At 46.5% G+C, this 23,833-nt stretch overlaps 1 annotated feature.

Annotated features, from left to right (window-relative positions):
• Positions 18,072–18,674: an enhancer, noted in NCBI's record as "H3K27ac-H3K4me1 hESC enhancer chr16:50512805-50513407 (GRCh37/hg19 assembly coordinates)". NCBI's record gives its function as "activates a minimal SCP1, AML or CMV promoter by ChIP-STARR-seq in primed H9 embryonic stem cells {active_cell/tissue: H9 hESC(primed)}" and the evidence as "EXISTENCE:reporter gene assay evidence [ECO:0000049][PMID:30033119]".

Here is a 23,833-nt window from a genome sequence, read left to right as displayed (position 1 = left end):
TGCAGGGATGAGTGGGAACAGTCAGGGGTGTTTGCCTCTAATTAGGGTTCCCCTGCATGGGCTATGAGAAGAAAAGACGGTTGACTCTGCTGGACTGGGGGCTCCCTAAACAGAAACCATGTCTAAGTCATCCTGCCCTCCCTGTCCCCCACGCCCAGTCAAGGCCCATCAAATAGTAGGCATCCATTCTACTGGACAGGCCAGTCCTGGGGCTTGTCATGCTCACAGTCTCCTCCTGAAAAAAGAAGAGACCATCTGTCCCTGGAGCCCAGGTGGCTTATATCTGTCCAGAGGTGATTGGTTGAGAGTCAGTCACCTGACCTAAGAGAAGTTATGTCACAGGCTAGCCAAGATCCTATGGTATATCTTGATACAAAGATCTCCTTCCCAACCAGGATGGGTGGTTTAGTGGGTGTCTTAACCCAGATTCCATATCAGTCAGCTTTGCATTGTTAGAAAGGAATACCTGAGGCTGAGTTATGTATAAAGAAAATAGGCCGGGTGAGGTGGCTCACATCTGTAATCCCAGCACTTTGGGAGGCTGAGGCGGGTGAATCACTTGAGGTCAGGAGTTCAAGACCAGCCTGGCAAACATGATGAAACCCCATCTCTACTTAAAAAAAAAATACAGAAAAGAAAAATAAAATAGGTTTATTTGTCTCACAGTTCTGCAGGCTGTACAAGCATGGCACCCACATCTATTTCTGGTGAGAGCCTCAGGAAGCTTACAATCATGGCAGAAGGTAAAGGGGAAGCAGCCATGTTATACGGTAAGAGAGGAAGAGGTTCCAGGTGCTTTTTAAACAAACAACTCTTGCGGGAACTGGTAGAGTGAGAACTCATTCATTACCACAAGGACAGCACCAAGCCATTCATGAGGGATCCACCCCCATGACCCACACACCTCCCAGACCCACCTCCAACATTAGAGGTCACATTTCTGGGTTTGTTTTTTTGTTTGTTTGTTTGTTTGTTTGTTTTGTTTTGTTTTGTTTTGTTTTTGAGACGGAGTCTCGCTCTGTCGCCCAGGCTGGAGTGCAGTGGCGGGATCTCGGCTCACTGCAAGCTCCGCCTCCCGGGTTCACGCCATTCTCCTGCCTCAGCCTCCCAAGTAGCTGGGACTACAGGCGCCCGCCACTACGCCCGGCTGATTTTTTGTATTTTTAGTAGAGACGGGGTTTCACCATTTTAGCCGGGATGGTCTCGATCTCCTGACCTCGTGATCCGCCCACCTCGGCCTCCCAAAGTGCTGGGATTACAGGCGTGAGCCACCGCGCCCGGCCTGTTTGTTTGTTTTTTGAGACAGCGTCTTGCTCTGTCACCCAGGCTGGAGTGCAATGGCGCGATCTCGGCTCACTGCAACCTCCGCCTCTGGGGCTCAAGCAATTCTCCTGCCTCAGCCTCCCAAGTAGGTGGGATTACAGGCATGCGCCACCACACCTGGCTAAATGTTGTATTTTTAGTAGAGACGGGGTTTCCCCCATATTGCCCAGGCTGGTGTCAAACTCCTGACCTAAGGTGATCCGCCTGCCTTGGCCTCCCAAAGTGCTGCAATTACAGGCGTGAGCCATCACGCCCAGCCAGAGGTCACATTTCAACCTGAGATTTGGAGGGGACAAACATCTGAACCCTATCACCGTAGAAAGCAGAGCCTGAGTCAAAGCTCACCTGCTGATGCTTTCCTGGTAGACACAATCCCAGGGAAGCAAGAATGAGGGGAAAGGATTGGGGCAGAGAAGGAGGCACAGGGGGTTCTTCTTCAGAACTGAAGGACTGAAGGCCCTTCAGCGCCTGGAAGTGCAGCTGGCAGACGGCCCCCAGCTGCCAGCCCCCTTTGGAATTGCTTTTATGAAGCAAGTCACCTCGCCCCACATCACACCTCCTTCCTGGGGCAGCTGCGTCTAATAACTGGGAAGCACAAGGTCATAAAGGCCCAACCCCTCGTCCCTACCCAGGACAGCTACAAAGGGCTCTCCCAGCTTCAGGACTCCTCATTGAGACTACGGCACAACTCACTCTCGCTCTGCCTGGGGCTGCCTTCGTCCTGCCCTTCCACAGGGCGGTAAACCTCCTGCACCCTCAGCTCCTCTTCTGGACCAGGAAACATGAGGGGAAAGTCTGTGAGGAGAAGGAGCAGAAGCTGAGAGGCTATGAAGGGGAGAGGGCCATAAGGAGTCAGGAAAGAGTGGGCAGAAGTTAGGAGAAAGTCGAAGTGAGGTGGAGACAAGCCCAACGGCACACCCGCTGAGGGGACAGCGAAACGGCCCTGTGGGGACAGCTGGCTGGCATTCCGAGTGATGTCATCCAAAAGACCACCAGGATTGTTACTGGAAAGGGGTCCAGATCCAGACCCCAAGAGAGAGTTCTTGGATCTAGCACAAGAAAGAATTCAGGGCGAGTCCATAGAGTCAAGTGAAAGCAAGGTCATTAAGAAAGTAAATAAAGGAATAAAGAATGGTTACTTCATAGACAGAGCAGCCCCAAGGGCTGCTGGAGGCCCATTTTTATGGTTATTTCTTGAGTATATGCTAAACAAGGGCTGGATTATTCATGCCTCCCCTTTTTAGAACATATAGGATAGCTTCCTGATGTTGCCATGGCATTTGTAAATTGTCATGGCTCTGGTAGGAGTGTAGCAGTGAGGACGACTAGAGGTCACTCTTGTCGCCATCTTGGTTTTGATGGGTTTTAGCCAGCTTCTCTATTGCAACCTGTTTTATCAGCAAGGTCTTTATGACCTGGATCTTGTGCTGACCTCCTATCTCATCCTGTGACTGAGAATGACTTAACCTCCTGGGAAAGCAGCCCAGTAGGTCTCAGCTTTATTTTACCCAGCCCCTATTCAAGATGGAGTTGGGCTGGTTCAAATGCCTCTGACAGGATGGCTAAAAAGTAGAAAGAGAGCTTTATTGGTGATATTGGCTTACACACTGGGAAGAGAGAGTCTCCATCGTGGACTGAAAGTGCTCTCTCTTCCAAGAGAGGAAGGAAGGATGTGTTGGGTTTTATGCCTCCCAGGGCCGGGGTCATACATATTCAGCAGATTTGGGGGAAAAGTTATGCATATTTATGAGGGGAGCCAAGCTTGTGTATCATGGGTAAACATGTATGTGACATACATCCCATGTTCACCTTGGGGAAAGGTTTTAGCATTAAAATGAGGTGGAATTGGCTCTTTACATCAAAGGGGAAGCTATAGGACACAAGGTCAGTTTCTGCACAGCCTCTGTAGGCCATGGAAACTGGCCTACGGTCTATAGTAGTTTATCAGACAACATTGGGCATGTTCAGTGTGGGATGGCCATAGACTATACTCGCTTATCAGAAGAGAATGTTTGGAAGGCTGATCCTCTCCAAATCAGAGCTGACAGCTCCTCTTGTTGGAGCGTTTCAGTGTAGGAATTTAGAAATTTGCCAGGCAGGAGGACCCTGAACCCTCAATCTGTAGGTAACTTTGTTTCCTTAACTTTGGGTCTGTGTTAGTTGATAAAGGGGTGTCTATTTTGGTCACTCAGGTCACAATGACCATCCTTATTCTCAGAGTCTCAGATGGTTTGCTGGGGTCACTTGTGGGGCTCCATTCCTTGGGTTGAGAACAGCTTCATGCTAGGAAAGGGGGTCTGCCCAGGCTCCATCCCTGGCTTCTGGATTCCAGTGGGAGCCAGGCCCTGGATCTTGGCAGGACAGTTGGGGAAAGACTCTTTTTCTGGAGAGTGTGCTGTAAAGATGCTCAGTTAAGGTGAAGACATTCCCACTCCCTCTATTTTGGCAACACAAGAGGAGGCCCTAGAGCAATGAGGGCAAGGCAGGGCTATTGGAAGCTCATGGATGAAGCCCACGTGGTGCCAGATAGAAAAAAGAGACCACTCAGATGGAGAGAAATCAGACCTACCACATGGCTTCAGCCTTAGGCCTTTCCATCTGTATTCCTTCTTCCATCAAAAGTTATCCTTCTTGTGAACCTATAGATTATATTGAAAAGAAAGAAAATAACCAAGAGAAAAAATAATTTAAAAAACTACCCTTCTAGCAGCCATCAGAGAGATTAAAATCGTGTCTTTTGCAGCAACAGGAATTGAACTGGAGGCCATGGAACTAACTCAGAAACAAAAAATCAAATAAGTACGTTGTCACTTATTAGTGGGAGTGAAACAATGGGTACACATGGCTGGCCGGGTGTGGTGGCTCACACCTGTAATACCAGCACTTTGGGAGGCAAAGGCAGGCAGATCACCTGAGGTCAGGAGTTCAAGACCACCCTGGCCAACATGGTGAAATCCCGTCTTTACTAAAAATTCAAAAATTACCTGGGCATGGTGGCTCACACCTGTAGTCCTAGCTACTCAGGAAGCTGAGGCAGGAGAATGGCTTGAACTGGGGAGGTGGAGGTTGCAGTGAGCCAAGATCATGCCACTGCACTCCAGCATGGGCGACAGAACGAGACCGTCTCAAAAAAAAAATAAATGAGTATACATGGACATAGAGATAGAAATAATAGACACTGGGGACTCCAAAAGCCTGGAGGACAGGAGAAAGGCAAAGGTTGAATAATTACGTATTGGGTACAATGTTCACTATTTGAGTGATGGGTACATTAGAAGCCCAATCCCCACCAGCATGCAATATACCCATGTAACAAATATGCACATGTACCCCCAAATCTAAAATAAAATTATTTTTAAAGTTCATTTAACCTACAAAAAAAAATTGACCCTGTCAGCCAGGTATAGTGACACATGCCTCTAATCCCAGCTACTTGGGAGGCTGAGGCAGAAGGATCATTTGAGCCCGAGAGTTCAAGGCCAGCTTAGGCAACACAGCAAGACCCCATCTCAAAAGAAAAATTTGTTTTAATTACCCATCCATAGTACTATTTCAATCTTTCAGGCCTTGCTAGGAAATTAAAACCAATCTAGAAAGAAATAAACCAATTTTTAAAATTGGGCAAAGGTCCTGAATAGACATTTCTCCAAAGAAGATATACAAATGACCAAGAAGCAGATGAAAAGATGTCAACATCACTAATCATTAGTGGAAGACAAGTCAAAACCACAGTGAGAAATCACTTCACACCTGTTAGGATGGCCATTATAAAACAAACTAAAAAAAAAAATCCACCAAAACGGAAAATAACAAGTGTTGGTGAGAAAGTAGAGAAATCAGAAGCCTTGTGCATTGCTGCTGGGAATGTAAAACAGTGCAGCTGCTATGGAAGATGGCATGGTCATTCCTCAACAAATTAAACATGGAATTACTATGTGATCCAGCAATTCCACTTTTGTGTATATATCCAGAAGCGAAAGCAGGGGCTCAAATATCTGTACACCTCTCTTCATAGCAGCATTATTCACAGTAGCCAAAATTTGGGGGCAACCCAAGTGGCCACCAATGGATAATGGATAAACCCAATGTCGTCTATACATACAATGGAATATAATTCAGCCTTAAGAAGGAAGGAAATACTGACACAGGCTACAACATAAACCTTAAAGACATTATGCTGAATGAAATAAGCCAGTCACAAAAAGACAAATACTGTGTGATTCCACTTACATGAGGTAACTAATATAGGCAAATTCATAGAGACAGAAAATAATATGGTTATATTGTAAATGTTTAAAACTTCCTATTTTTCTGATGCCTTGACATCCCCACAAACAGGCTGTGAGCACCCACCACATGACCAGGTGAATCAGTATGATCAGACTGGTCCCTGCCACAATTCCCCTATTGACCTTCCCAACTGTGACCTGGTGACATTCAAACACACCAACGAGGTCAGGCACAGTGGCTCTCACCCATAATCCTAGCACTTTGGAAAGCCAAAACGGGAGGATTGCTTGAGGCCAGGAGTTGGAGACCCAGCTGGACAACATGGCGAGACCCCCATTTCTACAAAAAATATAAAATAGGCTGGGTGCAGTGGCTCATGCCTGTAATCCTAGCACTTTGGGAGGCCGAGGCGGGAGGATCACTTGAGGTGAGGAGTTCGAGACCAGCGTGTCAAACATGATGAAATCCCATCTCTACCAAAAATATAAAAAATTAGCGGGGCATGGTGGTGGGCGCCTGTAATCCCAGCTACTTGGGAGGCTGAGGCAGGAGAATCGCTTAAACCTGGGAAGCGAAGGTTGCAGTGAGCAGAGATCGCGCCACTGCACTCCAGCCTAGGAGACAGAGTGGGACTCTGTCTCAAAAAAAACAAATAAATAAGATAATAAAGAATAAATTAAAAACTGCAAATGCACCAGTGACATCTCCCCATGCCTTCTGCTTGTGTGCGCCACACCTCTCCCGTGCTTGCTCTCTCTGTGTTTCTTGCTCCCCACCTGCTTGGTTGAAGTGGCTCCCTTGTCATTCCTCCAGTGCTGACACCTGAGTGGCAGACCTGTTCCTCCCTCTCTAAGACCTGTGAGTATAATAAACCCCCTAATTTCATATGCCTCTATACCTCTTGGGTGTAATTTTCATGGCCATGTTGGAGTGATCCTTAAAGACCCCACAAGGGGGACTTAGTCCCCAATTTACAGCACAATGACCATCACCAGTTGCTAGGGAGAGCGGAATTGGGAAGTTGTTATTTAATGGGTACAGAGTTTTGGTCGGGTGGGGAAGATGAAAAAGTTCTGGAGATAGATGGTGGTGATGGTTGCCCAACAATATGAATATATTTATGCCACAGGACTGCATACCAAAAAATGATTAAAATGGTAAATTTTATGATATGTATAGTTTACCACAATTAAAAAACTAAAACTGGACTATGTGATGGGTCAAGTGTAACAGTTTGTTGGAATCCATGAGACCACTGGGACCTTCATCCAATGTATAGACGAGGCTCTAGGAAGGAAGAGGCTTGTTCTGTTTACACAGTGATGATGGCAGATGCAGGAGGAGAACTTAGATCTCCTAATACTCAGGCCTTCAGCGTTGGCCTTTCAACTCAAGCTTTCCATCCTCTGTGGCCTGCTATCCCAGCAGGACCACTGACCACAGCCCCTGAAGGAGCACAGGCCTAGAGGACACACAGCTCTGGAGGCTGGGGAGGGCCACAGAGACAGAGCCCAAGCTGTATCAGAAGCCCAAGCACTGTATTAAAGTGAAAAACCTTGAGAATTCCCACTTTGTAATCCTGGCCATCAACCCCTCATAGCAATTTGGTGACCCTTCAATGAAGAGTTTCATGGATTTTATGCCCTTCTTGGTAAACCTATTCTGGGTTTCAGTTTATCCACACAGACAAAACCTCCAGGATTGCCTACTTTCAGGGTCAATGTCCAAGTACCCCTTTGACATCTAGACAAGATGGCAAAAGCCTGGCACATGAACCACCATCCTCCCTCCAGTGCCCATGGCAGACATTACCAATCAAGAGTCTATTTCCCACTGAGCAAGATAAAGACCTTAGAATCATTAACAGCACAGCCTCCAGCTGTCCAATCATTCAGCATTGGCACTCAAGGTGAGATTTATTTGCCAGCTGTCATCTACACTAATCTAACACAGCCTGGGATCATAGGGAAATCTCTCTTGGCCTCAATTTTTTCACCTCTAAATATGAAGTGATTTTTATGTTCCTGCCAGCTCTGTGATCTTGTGAATTCCTAATGGAACCAGACAATTCTACATTGTGGATAATGGAAGGAAATTCTGTTGGTTTCAAGAGAAATTCTATGCAGTTTTTAATATAATTTTTGGCAGCAAATCTGCCCTTCCTATTCTATTTAAATTAGGTTGGGTCAGAGCATGGTGGGATCCAAGGACATTGGAAGTCTGGCTGAGCATATTGGGTTCCACATCCCCTACGAAGCCAAACACGGCAATCTGATGGTGTTCCTGGCCTCCAAGGTCACCAGTGCCCTCTGGAAGCCATTTCGTGCTTTCAGGAAGGTCCTGAGCCAAGATAATTCTAACCTTTTTCTTTGAGGTGGAACATGACTGTCCCGCCCACCATCTCCCAGCAGGAGAGATCCAGGATTGACATTTCTGCCCCTCACACTGTCCCTACTTGTCCTATCCCATGTTCTGGGAGGGCAGATGTGTTCCTCTCACAGAGCCTAGGCAGCCTTTCTCATCTGCCTGCCAGCAAGCCGGGTGCTCTCCCCACCCAGCCAGGAAGAAGGGGATCCTCAGAGGGAGGGGAGAAGACAGGGCTGCCTGCTTGCCACCAGGCACTGTGAAAGAGAGAACTTTAAATCTTGGCCTCCACCAGGGAACTGCCTTAATTAGGGTGGCGCCAAGCATGATGCTGTAATTAACTGTGTGTCTGTGTTTCCATCCCAAACGCCCATTTCCAGAGCTTTGTGATCCAGTCTTCTAAAGAGAAGCTCCAGCCAGAAACTTGGCACCAGCAGCCCCAGAGGGGAAGGATGGCCAGATTTCCCCTACTCTTCCCTCTTACCGCCCCACTCTGGGTGAGTCTCTGGAGGTAGAAGCCATGGGACCCTCCTAAAAGGGTGTTTATGTGTGCTCAGAGCTACTGCCTGAGCTCTGCCTGGTCCCCAAAGCCAGGGAAACCCCAAAGCAAGGTATCAGTATGGACAGTCCCAAGCATTCCCTGGGCAGGGGGCACACCTGTTAGTTTGACTTGAATAACATCCATTTTACATTATTCTAGTAACTTTGATCTTCTTTGGGGAACCAGCCGCATCCATCTGTAGCCCTTGGGAAGGACCCATGACCTAGTCTGGCCAATCAGAGTGTTCATCCCCTGGCCACAGTGATTGGTCCAGTGTGGGTCTGAGCCAATGTGACTCTGTTGCAGAATCTTGAGATGGAACTGTTACGGAATGGTATTTGCTTTTCTTGGTAATTGCCAAGCTGGGAGGATGTCAGTCTGGAGGTGCAGAGGCCATGTTTGCCACCTCATACAGGGAGAGTCTCTCAGTGAGACCAAATTGAAGAAAGCACAGAAAAAAGATGGAGGGTGCCAGAGACAGACCTAATGGCATCCTTTAAGCAGTTGACTCCAGCCATACCTGAAGCAAAATGCTCCCGGAGACTTTTAATTATGTCAGAGGCAATAAATTTCTAATTTTTATGTATGTCAATTTGTTTTATGTGGTTTTGTTTGTTTGTTTTAGAGACAGAATCTCACTCTGTTGCCCAGGCTAGAGTACAGTGATGTCATCATAGCTCACTGCAGCCTCAACCTCCTGAGCTCAAACCACCCTCCTGCCTTAGCCACCAAAGTAGCTAGAACTATAGGTGCATACTACCAAGTCCAGCTAATTTTTTACTGTTTTTTTTTTTGTTTTTTTTGTTTTGTTTTGTTTTGTTTTTTTGGTAGAGATGAGGTCTCGCTATACTAGAATGTACAGGCTGGTCTTTAACTCCTGGCTTCAAGTGATCCTCCTGCCTTGGCCTCCCAAAGTGCTGAGATTACAGGTGTGAGCCACTGCACCCTGCTGTTTATGTCAATTCAAACTGACTGTCTGTCACTTGCAACTTTGATATGGTTTTGCTGTGTCCCCACCCAAATCTCATCTTGAATTTCCACGTGTTGTGGGAAGGACCCCGTGAGGGGTAATTGAATCATGGAGGCAAGTCTTTTCCATGCTATTCTCATGATAGTGAATAAGTCTCACAAGATCTGATGGTTTAAAAAAGAGGAGTTCCCCTGCACAAACTCTCTCTCTCTTTGCCTGACGCCATCCATGTAAGATGTAACTTGCTCCTCCTTGCCTTCTGCCATGATTATGAGGCTTCCCCAGCCACATGCAACTGTAAGTCCAATTAAACCTCTTTCTTTTGTAAATTGCCTAGTCGTGGGTATGTCTTTATCAGCAGCGTGAAAACGGACTAATACAAACTTAAAGAGCTTCGACTAAAGCTTAAGTCACTACATGCACTCCAGTCCTGAAACTAAATCCATCTCCAGACTTTTCAAGTCACTTGTACCAATTAATTACACATTTTTTATTTATATAAGATTGAGTTGAGTGTCTGACTCTTACAATCAAAAAGTCTCAATGATGCATATTTTCTCCTTATTATAAAAGTAATACATACTCATTGGAGACAAGTAAAAAAATATTGATAAGCACACAAAAGAAAATAAAAATTACTCCTAATCTCATCACCCAGAAACAATTTTAGATATAATAGAGGAAATGCTTCTCTAGTCTTGTTTCTATGCATGTACATGTACATGGCTATTTAGATGAGATCAAACTCTAATGCCAGTGGGTATCTTTTATTCTTTATTGAAATAGAGCATCTGTACAGAAAAGGGCACACCTCACAAGGATGCGGCTTGAGGAATCACAAAGTGGACACACCCATGTTACCAGCTTCCAGCTCAAGAAACAGAACCCTACTAGCCCCTCACAAGGTGGTGGCTTGGGGCCCTCCCAATTATTACTTCCCCAAAAAAGTGACCACCTTCCTGACTTCTAGTAGCATAGATTAATATGGCCTGTTTTTCAACCTTATGTTGAGTCACATAGAGTGCTCTTCAGTTTTAGGCTTCTTTCAGCATTTTGTCTGCAAATAGCATTTTGTAACCTGCTTTTCTAACTTCCCTATAGTCTGACTATGTCCCCATATCTTTAATTATTCCCCTACTACCCCCTTCTCTCATGAAGGAATCATTCTTGACATTGCCAGTCTCCTACTGTGAGCATTTTGGTCATTTCTCATTTTTTGCTATTATAAACAATGCTGTGATAGATATCCTTGCATCTCAGGAAATATCGAATCAACATAAAAAGTCAACAATAAAAGGTTTGAGTAAAAGTTAAGGCAGCAGCAGCCAGGCATGGTGGTTCATGCCTGTAATCCCAGCACTTTGGGAGGCCAAGGAGAGCGGATCATTTCAGGCCAGGAGTTCGAGACCAGCCTGGCCAACATGGCAAAACTCCCCCATCTCTACTAAAAATACAAAAATTAGCCGGGCATGGTGGCACACACCTGTAATCTCAGCTACTCAGGAGGCTGAGGCAGGAGAATTACTTGAACCCGGGAGACAGAGGTTGCAGTGAGCCAAGATTGTGCCACTGTAACCCAGCCTGGGCAACACAGTGAGACTCAGTCTCAAAAAAAAAAAAAAAAAAAAGAAGAAGAAGGAGGAGAAGGAGGAGGAGGAGAAGGAGAAGAAAGAAAGGAAGAAGAAGAAGGAGAAGAAGAAGAACAGGAGGAGGAGGGGAGGAGGAGGAGGAGGAAGAGGAAGAAGAAGAGGAAGAGGAAGAAGAAAAGAAGAAGAAGAAGAGAAGAAGAGGAAGAGGAAGAGAGAAGAAGAAGAAGGAGAAGGAGAAGGAGAGGAAGAGGAAGAGGAAGAAGAAGAAGAAGAAGAAGAAAGAAGAAGAAGAAGAAGAAGAAGAAGAAGAAGAAGAAGAAGAAGAAGAAGAAGAAGAAGAAGAAGAAGAAGAAGAAGAAGAAGAAAGGAATTAAGGCAAATTAAGGAGAGGGGATCACACCCAGGCAGCAAAACAGAAGTGTCAGCCAAGGACTTTCAGGATTTTTCTGGTTCATCCTGCATTAGTGGAGAGCACTGCCCTACTGAAATTAGCCTCCTTCATTCTTGGTGAGCAAACAATTTGTCTCCATTTTTTGGTATTGAAAACAATGTGGCAGAGAACATCTCCTGTACATGCATCATTTTGTACATGGGGGCTTACATCCTAGGATAAATTCCTAAGAATAGTAGCTGATATTTCCCAAGCCCTTTCTGCTAGGCACTGTGTTTTTTTATGTGTCTTTCACAGATTAGCTCATTTGAGCCTCTCAACAATCCAATGAAATAGGGATTCTTACTGTCCCCATTTTACAGAAGTGGGACTGCTGGGTGAAAGGACAAGTACATTTTGCATCTTGATTCACACTTTCTAGCTGCCTTCCAAATGACTGTACCAATTAATTCTACCCTCAACAGTACAAAGGGTCAATTTCCCTTCCCCGCTTGCCAATGCTGGATACTATCAATTATTTTAATTGCCAGTCATAGCCAAACTGATATGTGAAAAATTATAACTCATTATAGATATTTGTTTTTCTTTCATTTTTAATGAGTGTCTTAGTCCATTCAGGCTGCTATAACAAAATATGATACACTGGGTGGCTGACAAACAACAGAGCTTTATTTCTCATGGTTCTGGAGGCTGGAAAGTCCAAGATCAAGGCACCAGCAGATTTGGCATCTTGTGATGGCGCATTTCCTGAATCACAGATGGTACCTTCTTGCTGTGTCCTCACAAGGTGGACAGGGCAAAGCAGCTGACTGGGGCCCTTTGTTTAAGGGCACTAACCCTGATCATGAGAGGAGAGCCTCCCAAGGTCCCATCTCCTATCGCCACATTGGTGATTAGATTTTAACATATGAATTTTGGAGGGGCAAAAAACATTCAGACCATAGCAGTGAGACTGAACATCTTGTTTCATATTTATTTGCTGTGTGTATTTCTTCTCTAAATTGCCTGTTCATGTCTTTTGCCTATTTTTCTTTCTACTGAGTGCACTTGATTTATTTTTTGCATATTAAAGGCTTTCATCTTTCATATACATGGCAGACATTTTCTGGTTTTGTTTTTTCCCACCCTAAAGCTGATTTCTGTGACATAAAGGAGTTTATGGGGTTCCAAGGGGTTTTTTTGGCATTTTTTGATGTGTTGATCACCAATCATTTTCATTGTGATTCCCTGTCTGTAAAATGGGGAGGGGATGGACTACATCTTGGATGTTTTAAATGTGATCCACATGCCTGGGTTAGGGGTTAGGGGGTCCCGAGTCTCCCAAGGGGCACCATGGGATGGTGGGTCATGCAAAGGAGTCTGAGCTGTCTGGATTCCTTATCCCACTTATGGTTGAACTAGGTAACTGGGGCATTGGTTGGGGTACCTGTCCTTTGAGATGTGAAGCCCAACTGCCTTGCTTGCCAAAAAACCAGGCTGATCTCTCCACCAATCCTAGGAGTGTAGGGATGGGAACCCCACCTCTCTCACAGTCTGTGGGGCTCTCTTAGGTTTTCTTCATCACTCCTACCCTCCAAATTCCCATCTGACCTGGCCAAGTGGGGGGTCATTTCATTCTATTCTCCAGGTCCTGTTTTATGTCCTGCTTCACAGAGGAGCCCCAGCAGCTTCCCTTGAATGCTCCTCTCTCCACCAGCATCACTCACATGAAGCTCTTTGTGAACATCAGCCTTGATCAGTTGTAGGGAGATGGAGGGGATTATGTCACAGCAGCATGCAGCAAACCCCAAATTATGCATCCCTATACTTAAGATCCCTCCATCCGCCATTGTTCTCCCAACCTCCAGTCTTCCATCTAGTCTTAGTCCTCTCTCACACACTGTACATCTCTCCTCCCACTTTTCTGGGCTCTTTCCCCTAGGATTCTACCTAGAAAATTTATTTTCACCAGTTTACTAGGCAAAGAATATTTGGCCTCCTTCCATTGTTTGCCTTGGAAACTACCTGTGCATGTGTGGAAGCTATTGAACTAGATCCTTGGTTTTCAAAGTGTGATCCAGGGATCCCAAGAATCTGCAAGTCCCTTTCAGAAGTTCCACAGTCAAATTTACTTTCATAATAATACTGTAGTAGATTGAATGGTGGCTCCCAAAAGATATGCCCATGTCTTAATCCCCAGAAACTGTAAATGTGATTTTATTCAGCAAAAACATCCTTGTAGATGCAATTAAATTAAGGATCTTGAGATGAAGAGGTCATTCTGGATTATCTGGAAATCTAATGACAGTGTCCTCACAAGATAGAACACAGAGGGGAAGTCGATGTGAAGACAGAAACAGAGATTGAAGTGACGCAGCCACAAGCCAAGGAATGCAGACAGGTACCAGAAGCTGAGAACAGAACTCTCCTAGGTTCTCTAGAGAAGGTACAATCTAGTTGAGACCTTGCTTCTGGCCCCTAAAACCATAAGAGAATAAATTTCTGTTGTTGAAAGTCACCAACTTAGTGGTAATTTGTTGCGGCCGCCCCCAGAAAACTACTACAAATACTGAGACATTTGCCATTTTCATCTCATCCTCTCCTGAGTGTACAGTGGAGTTTTTCAGAGGCTACACGACATGTGGTATTAGAACAAATTGAATGCAGAAGCAGATATGAGAATCCAGCTGTTTTCTATTAAGCCAGACATTAGGAGATTTGCTAAAATGAAAAACAATGCCACTCTTCAAACAAAAGTTTTTTGTTTTGGAAAATCTGAGGGTTTTTTTCATTTTTTAAAAATGTTATTTATGTTAATATAAGATGGGCTTTTGAAAAATTATTAAATATATGTATTTTCAAATTCTCTATTTAATTTTTTCATATAGTAAATATTGATAAGCATAACCCACGTGAGCAAAGATTCTTTGGGGTCCTTAAAAAATGTAAGAGCATAGAGTGGTTATAAGATAAAAACACTTGAGAACTGCTAAACTAGATCATGTCTCTCACATCCCACCTTGACTCTCTGGTTTTACCCTGAAAAATAAGCCAAGATAGGCTGCATTTGACAGCAATTGACAGAAAACCCAAATCAAAGTGGCTTAAATGAGAGAAACATATCATCTCACAAAACAAGCCCAAGGGCTGGGCCTCCTGGGTTTGGTTAATTCACTGGGTCAAGTGTACTGTCACTTCCAACCACTGTGTTTCTGCTTCCTGCTACTCTGCTACCCTTTGAGAGCTCGTCCTCCTCATGGTTACAGGATGGCTGCAGCCGTGCCAAGCATCACGTCCTCACACAACAAAAGCCAAAGCTGGAAAAAGAAGCATCCATCCTTGAGCTTCATTTTAGAAGCCAAGAAGTCCCCCTCTTCTGCCTTCTCTTCTCATTGTCTAGAATTGTATCACAGGCCCATTTCTGTTCAAGAGAATGGCACTATGTGGGGTTGGCTTGTTCTGGTCTAAATTGACCTCCATGACAGGGAGAAGATCAGTCTCCTCTGAAGACGTGGCCATGGGATTGGGGTCTTATGAGCAAGGAAAGGGGGTCAGGCTGTAGGGAGATGATCACAGTGCCTGCCATTGCCACTGGGGACTTCAAGTCTGTGGAATCAGCAGCCATATCCCAAGGTGCCCTGGCTGTCCACCCATCAGCAATTTAGCCACAGCCCAGCGTGAGTCTGGCAGAACCTCTGCCTCTACTCTTCAGAGCTACCTTGGCTCCATGAGCTCCAGACCCACGGCCCTTAACACCTGTCATGGCCAATCCTCCACTCTCTTGGTGCAAGGGCCAGTCCCCACCGCTGGTCCTGCCTCCTTCTGCCTGGTACAATGTTATATCAGATGCTCTGTGTACCTTCCGTGCCCCCAGTTTTGCTTGGAGGTCACCCCTATCCACTTGAAAGCTTTCAGTCCTCTCAGGAAACACCTAAGTTGTTTTGCAAAATGTCCCATGTTGCTCATATCAACCTTCAAGCTCCACATAGTCTCTCTCTCAAAAAAAAAAAAAAAAAAAAAACATCTAAAGTCCTCAGCCAGGCCCAGTGGCTCATGCCTGTAATGCTAGCACTTTGTGAGGCCAAGGCAGGAGGATCACTTGAGCTCAGAAGCTTGAGACCAGCCTGGGCAACATGGCAAAACCCCATCTCTACAAAAAAAATACAAAAATTAATGAGGCGTGGTGGAATGTGCCTGTAGTTCCAGCTACTTGGGGGACTGACGTGGGAGGATCGCTTGAGCCCAGGAAGTGGAGACAGCAATAAGCTGTCATTGTGCCACTGCACTCCAGCCTGGGCAACAAAGGGAGACCCTGTCTCAAAAAAGAAAAAAAAAAAACTAAAGTTCTCACCAGGCTCCCTATTCTCTCTCTCTCTCTGTCACGCGCGCACACACACACACACACACACACACACACACACACGCACACACTACGGGTGAGGTGACTCAGGTTCTGGAATCTTTGCTTTGCCACCTATTTGCTGTGCAACCTTGGACATCTAACTTACCCACTCTGAGCCCATGTTTCTTTATTTCTAAGAAGAGGGTAATGATACCTATGTTCTAGAATTGCTGAGGATTAAATGAGACCATGCATGTAAAGTCACTCACTGTCAAGACTCAGAAGTTGTCAGTTGTCACAATATTGTTGCATCTCAAAATCTTTACAGGGCTGCAAATCTTGTACAGAGTACCTGGACCTCTGTTGTATCACCTGATATTCACAGCACCCCGGGAAGTCAGCTGAGCAAGGGTTATGCCCATGTTTCAGATGAGGCCATTGAGGTCCAAAGAGGCCAAGTGATTCAGCCAAGCTCACACAGGTGACTCAAAGCCAATTCTAGTACTCAGATCTCAGACTCCAAGCTCAGGGCCCCTCCGGGGTATACTTGCCTCCCTGACACTCTGTGTGACCTTGATAGCTCAGCTCTCAAATGCGTGGAAAGTTTTGTAGGAATCAGGTCTGGGACCATTGGACATCACATGGCCAGGTAGCAAGGGTGACAGCAGATACCCAGGAGAGGTTATGAGTGAAGCCTCTCACAGTTCAAAGCCCATGATGGAGAGCAGCTTCTTAAAAGACCCAAGTAAGGAGAGACCCTCCAGGGGTGAAAATCCAGCATATAAAAATAAAAGAGATAGGGCAGGCATGGTGGCTCACACCTGTAATCCCAGCACTTGGGGAGGCCAACATGGGCGAATCACCCAAGGTCAGGAGTTTGAGACAAGCCTGGCCAACATGGTGAAACCCCATCTCTACTAAAAAATACAAAAATTAGCTGGGCGTGGTGGCAGGTGCCTGTAATCCCAGCTACTTGGGAGGCTAAGGCAGGAGAATCGCTTGAACCCAGGAGGTAGAGGCTGCAGTGAGCCAAGATCACGCCACGCCACTGCACTCCAGCCTGGTGACAGAGAGAGATTCCATCTCAAAAAAAAAAAAAAAAAAGAAAAGAAAAGAAAAGAAAAGAAATAAATAAGAAATAAATAAAAAAGACACGTTTGGCTTCACAAACGTGTTCATCTTCTGAAAGACAAACATACTATAAGCAAAGGTGATAGACAAACAATACATTTGGGGAAAAATATTTGTGATGCAGTGGACGAAAGGTTACCATCTATAATATACAAAGAGCTCTTACAAATTGAAAAGAAAAGGGCAAGCAACCCAAAAGAAATTGTGGCAAAGGACATGAATAGGCAATTCACCAAAGAATGAAGCCAAATGACCACGGACAAATGAAAAGATGCTCACACTCATTAGTGGTCAGAGAAATGCAAATGAAACTGACAATGAGATATCACAGAGGAAACTTGAAAAGAACAATAACACAAGGGCTGGCAGAGATTTAGGAAAAAGCTACCCTCATGCGTTGTTGCTGAAAATGCAAATTGTTACAGACTTTTTGAGAAGGAATCTGGCAACTTCAATTAAAGCTTGAGGAGTTACATGAAAAATTTCACTTTTAAAATACAAATTTTGCATTTAAAATATTCCCTTTAACCCAACAGTTCTAACCCTGGAAATATGATAGAAATGAAACCACCATGTCCTGAGGACAAGTAAAGAAAGGTGTTTATTGAATCAATTTTCATAATGACAAGAAAAGCAACCTTGAAACAAAGTATGGCAGAGATGGGCCACACAGGGAACACCTTATTTCCCAGCCTCCCTGGCAGTTTGGCTGAAACCATGTGACTGGGTTCTGGCTAGGGACTGGGGCGAAGAAGTGACGTGTGGCCATGAAGCCCACGGCCTCATGCTCCTTCTCTCTCTTCCCCTTCTGTGGCAACTGCCGAGACCCCAAGATGGAGATGGAAGGAGCTCGATCCCTGAGATGAAAGCTCTGAGGAGACCACCCAAGGGCTGCCCAAATATACTGCATTACAATAGGAGCAAGAAATCAACACCCTTGTTTTGTTAAGATGCTACAATTTCAGAGTTTCCTGGTGGCCACAGCATAGCCTTGGTTCATGTTAATTAATGTGCAGGCTAAGTGTCCTTCAGTAAGAAATGACTAAATGAATGATGGCACAGCACACTCAAGAATATTACACAGACAGCACGAAGAATGAATTAGACCTGGACCACGGGGTTGCCAAATGTAGGAGAAGAAAAGCACAATGCAGAAGATCGTATATAATGTTTCATCCGGGCATTCTAAACAATGATCAGAAAGACTTTCTGGGCATGGGGGCTCCCATCTGAGATTCCAGCACTTTGGGAGGCTGAGGTGAGAGGATGGCTTGAGGCTAGGAGGTCGAGACCAGCCTGGCCAACATAATGAGACCCCGACTCTACAAAAATTTAAAAATTAGCCTGGCATAGTGGCGTGCACCGGTAGTCCCAGTTACTCAGAAGGCTGAGGCAGGAGGATCACTAGAGCCCAGGAGTTCAAGGGTGCAGTGAGCTACGATTGCTCCACTGCACTCCAGCCTGGGCAACAGAGCAAGACCCGCTCTCTAAAAGAAGAAAAAATATGAAAGTATATATGTATGTGTATATACGATTACATAAGAAGGGATAAGAACATGGGAAGATGCTGATGGCAGTGGCTGCTGCCATCACGACGGCTGCCTGGCTGGGGCTGCACACTCCATGGTGCCAGTGGGAGCCCCGCCCCTTCTGAGTTGGGAAGGGAGCTCCCTGGGTGCGCTGCAGCCACCCAAACTGCAGCTGCAGACCCAGGCCTCCTGGGAGCAGGCAGGAGCCCCACCCTCCTGGGCGGGGCTACAGCTGCCCAAACTGCAGCTGTGGTTCCGAGCCTCCCTGTGCTCTTGGAGGAGGGCCAGGAGCAGCAGGATCCGCCTCCCCAGGTGCGGCTTCAGCTGCCCTCCCAGGTGCAGGACCTGGGTGTCTCTGCAGCCTGCACCCTTGGGGGACCTGGAAGGCCCCCCTACACACACCGTCCCTGCTGGCTCGGGGGTGTCTCTTCCTGCAGCCTGACCTCTTTCCTCTCCTGGCGCCAGCTCCGATCTCGTTGGGGGTTTGGGGCCAAGCCCCTGGGCCTTGAATGGAAGCGGAGGCAGGGTCCTGGGCGGAAGCGGGGGGGTCTTCAGTAAGGCCCCACCTTCAGGCCAGGTAGGGCATGAAGGCTAGGAGCCGGGCTGCCAATCCCGCAGACTGGAGTGGGGACTCACGGTGCCTCTTCCACCCGGCCCCCGCTCCTTCCCCACCCTGTCTCTGCCCATGAACCAATCAGTATGCATTTCTTCCCCTCTGAGGTCTATAAAAGACCTGTGCTCAGCCAGAGCAAGGCAGAGGATGGCCAGAGGACTAAGAGGGCAGAGAGAGGACAGGACTGGACGACCAGCTGCAGAGAGGAGTACCCTCTCCGCTGAGCACATCAGAGACCGGCAGAGACGTCCAAATGACTTGCCTGTGGAGAGGAGCCACCCTCTTCAGGGCCTCCTCTCTGTTAAGAGCTGAACGCTCGGCTGGACCACCTGCCTACAGAGAGGAGCTGCCCACTCTTCTGAGCTGTTCTAAACTAAATAAAAGTCCTCTTCTTCACCCTTCACTTTTCTGCGTACCTCATTCTTCCTGGATGCAGGACAAGAACTTGAACAAAGGCGCTGTGGCCACAGAGGTTTCCAGCCGGAAAAATCGGCACCTCAGAGATCTCATAACAATGCTACTAGCTCGCTAGGGCGGGTTCAGAGGGAGAGGGAGAAAAAACAGTAGAGAAGGGCCAAGCAATAAGGTAGAGAAAGTACATCAACAAAAATAGTTTACATGAGCACATGTTTGCATTTATGACTGTACAGATGTAAACATGAAAATGTTTTCATGTTGAAGAACGAAACCTATCTTCTTTATTGTGGGAGAAAAAAAGCATTCACATCCCTGACAGATGCAGAGGACAGGGGACTGCAAGCACCAACAGGGGAGGCAGAAGACCCTGTCCTTGCCTCAAATCCAGTAATGCCTTTCTGTAGACTGCGTCTGGTCTGGACATCTCCCCCATTGAGATTTGGCCAGAAACAAGGGGAAAAGAAGGTTCCTGTGACCATCCTGGCATGGGGGCTGGAGCCAGAGGCTGGGGGCTGCCACCACATCTTCTGGGAGAATGGAGGGGCCTTCGGTCAGCAGCATTTCAGAGGTTAGGGAAACATGCTGAGGAGGGTCTGCCAGGAGAGAAGTCTCCAAGGTCAAGGGTCACAAACTGGGAGCCCAGGGGCAAATTCAATCCACAGTCATATTTTGTTTGGCTTGCACAGTGATATCTAGAAAATTCAAATTGGTTGCCAACATATTCAAATGGGCAGATTTTATGCACCCATACACACCAAACTTCATATCTCCAGTTTATAGTGAAAAAAAAAATCAGCTGATCCAACCACACTGTGCCCACGTTTTTGAATAGCAACAATCCAGTGGCCACCCTCTTTAGACGGGGCATGTGTTCTTCAGTTTGTCACTGTCCCCACCACTCCATACCCTTAACCCAGGTCACTTCACCCTCTTTATATTACCCAGCCAGTCCCGAAGTCACATTCATGTGTACAGCCCCATGTCCCCATCAGCCCCTTCCTTACCCACCCACTTCTTGCTGGACAAAGTGAAAATCAGGCTCCATGGGCTTTGGCACAAGGCAGACAAGCCCAGATTTGGGCTCTTCCCTGTGTCTGCGATGCCTTGGCACTGCATCAACGTAGCTGAGCTGGAACCACGTTGTCCAAGAATTTCCATATGGTTCTAAGTTCATGTTGGCTGAAACAGACATTTGGTGAAAGCTGAAAGGCGGAAGTGAAGCAGCAGCCATATATATATACATATATATATATATATATACATGTATATATATATATATATGTATATATATATATATATAGTTTTTACGCTCAAAGTCAGCATGGGGTCCCAGGCCCTGGGGCAGCTCACACATTGCTATCCCTGACCTGCTGGCTCGCCTGATTGGCAGGGACAGCACCTGGCTTCTCCACCTTTTCCTAAGTCTCCCTCAGCATCTCCCAGTCCCGGCCAGTGTGTGTGCAGCTCCATAGGGAAGCGCACCAGCTTTTCCTCCAGCTCACCCAGGGCATCGAAGCTGGAGAAAGTGAAGACAGGCAGACGCTGCTTCCAATCCGCCCTGCCCTCGTCCATTTACAGCCTTCCTTCCTCAGGAGGCTGACGTAGCATGACTCCAGGCTCTACCTGATGCAGAGGCAACCACCTGCACAATTATGTAAGGTCTAACCTCCATAATAAATCTGTTTCGCTGTATCTGTGGTATGGGCTGCGCTTCTCCAATCAATCCTCAACTGACATCCTCTGTATGTGATCTCAGGCAAGTTACTTAACCTCTCTGAGCCTCACTCCCCTTATCTTAAAATGCCCATGACAGTGCCTACCTCATATGGTTATAGTGAAAATAAGATGGGCATGTGAAGTGCCCAGCAGAGTGCCTGGCACCTAGCACATGCTCAACAAATGCCATCTGTTATAAAACGGCAGCATTTTTAAGTGGGATATGTGCATTTATCTGTGTAACACTGGGGAAGAAAAAAAGTAGCTGAGGCCAGGCACAGTGGTGCACACCTATAATTCCAGCAGTTTGGGAGGCCGAGGTGGGTGGATCACCTGAGGTCAGCAGTTCAAGATCAGCCTGGCCAACATGGCAAAACCCTGTCTCTACTAAATACAAAAACTTAGCCGGGCGTGGTAGCAGGCACCTGTAATCCCCACTACTTGGGAGACTGAGGCAGGAGAATTGCTTGAACCCGGGAGGCAGAGGTTGCCGTGAGACAAGATCACGCCACTGCACTCCAGCCTGGGAGACACAGCGAGACTCTGTCAAAAAAGAAAGAAAGAAAGAAAGAAAGAAAGAAAGAAAGAAAGAAAGAAAGAAAGAAAGAAAGAAAGAAAGAAAGAAAGAAAGAAAGAAAGAAAGAAAGAAAGAAAGAAAGAAAGAAAGAAAGAAAGAAAGAAAGAAAGAAAGAAAGAAAGAAAGAAAGAAAGAAAGAAAGAAAGAAAGAAAGAAAGAAAGAAAGAAAGAAAGAAAGAAAGAAAGAAAATAGCTGAATATCCCTAATTTGATCCCTTGTCGCCTGAATTAAAAATACCTCTTCCTCTCTCTGCAAGAGTTTAACCCCCCCAAGTATATATAAATGTGTATCTGTGAGTGTGTGTGCAAAAGGACACATGTGCATGTGCAAAAGGAGAAATTTGAAAATTCTAAAATTGTTCTTTCATTTATATGTAGTACAACCGATCTCTCTTAGACTGGGTCTCTGGGATCCAGGCAATGAAATGGAGATGTGCGCCCAGGAGGACTGTCAGGGAGCACTCTCAGGACCCACACCTGGGGGTGAGGGGGTCGAGGTTGAGCAGGGGGAGAAGTTGGGCAGAGGTGTCATTAGAGCAGAGGCCTCTGCTAACCCCACAGGGAGTTTTGGAATCCCACAGGCCCTTTGGAGTTGTCCCAAATTGAGAGGGTCCAGATCTTTGTACTGCACCTCAACAACTCCTTGAATGTGGATGGCCCCAGAGAGGAGGTGTAGCCATGGGCAGACATCCCTGGCAGGCAGGGGGACTCCTCTGAGCCAGCAGCTACGAGCACTTCATGCCAAGGGTCTCTGCCCTCAAGGGCCACAGTGGCATGGAAGGCAGACATGGCTCTGCCCATCTGTATTAGTCTGTTCTCACACTGCTAATAAAGACATACTGGAGACTTGGTAATTTATAAAGGAAAGAAGTTTAATGGACTCAGTTCCACATGACTGGAGACACCTCACAATCATGGTGGAAGATGAAAGAAGAGCAAAGGGACATCTTACATGGCAGCAGGCAAAAGAGCATGTGCAGGGGAACTCCCATTTATAAAACCATCAGATATCATGAGACTTGTTCACTATTGGCCAGGCACAGTGGCTCACACCTGTAATCCCAGCACTTTGGGAGGCCGAGGTGGGAGGATCACGAGGTCATGAGATCGAGACCATCCCGTCTCTACTAAAAAAAAATACAAAAAATTAGCCGGGCGTGGTAGTGGGTGCCTGTAGTCCCAGCTACTCGGGAGGCTGAGGCAGGAGAATGGTGTGAACCCAGGAGGCGGAGCTTGCAGTGAGCCAACATTGCGCCACTGCACTCCAGCCTGGGTGACAGAGTGAGACTGTCTCCAAAAAAAAAAAAAAAAAAGAGACTTGTCACTACCATGAGAGCAGCATGGGAAAAACCCTCCCCCATGATTCAATTACCTCCCACCAGGTTCCCTCCGATGACATATGGGTATTATTACAATTCAAGGTGAGATTTGGGTGGAGACACAGAACCATCTGAGCTGGGCACACAGCCACCACACAGAGGATAGAGTGAGGTGGCCCTGCCCTCTTGAATGGGAGTGCACGAGGGCCTGGCATTTGTCTTATCTGTTGCTGAATCATCTGTGCTTGGCATGGGGTCCTGCTTAGAGTAGGTGCTCAAAAGACATTTCATTTGTTGAGTGAATGAAAGAGAATCACTGGATTCAGACTTGAGTCATATTTGAAGGTCTACTTCTCTGTTCAAGAAATGTACAGATGAAAGACACATCTGGTGCAAGCAACATTTTCTCTGCAGATGTGGCACTCTGGCTGCTCATTCTGGCTCCTCCCTTTTGCCCACATTTCCCCCCAGTTGAGAACATGCTCCTTCTCTCCCTCCTTCCTGCAGGAGGTCTTCCCTGACTACACAATTCCACGTGCACAAGTGTGCATACCCCCACACACTCTGTTCCCCAAAGAGCAATTGTGAGCCTTGGAGATCAGGACAGAGAGACTGGAAGGAAAGGCTCAGAGTTTCCGCCCTCCTCCTAACCTCTGTCTCCACTGGCATCCACCTCCTCCATGCCACTGCAAACCCAGGGTGGCATTCCTCTCCCCACCTCCCATTAGATTAATCCACCCAGCCATAGTAAGCTCACTCCCCCGGGGTTCAGGATCCGCCTGGATGCTATTTGGCCAATGAG

The sequence above is a fragment of the Homo sapiens genome, chromosome 16, assembly GCF_000001405.40.
Source record: "Homo sapiens chromosome 16, GRCh38.p14 Primary Assembly".
Lineage (NCBI taxonomy): Eukaryota > Metazoa > Chordata > Mammalia > Primates > Hominidae > Homo > Homo sapiens.
This window is presented reverse-complemented; position numbering and strand designations above follow the sequence as displayed.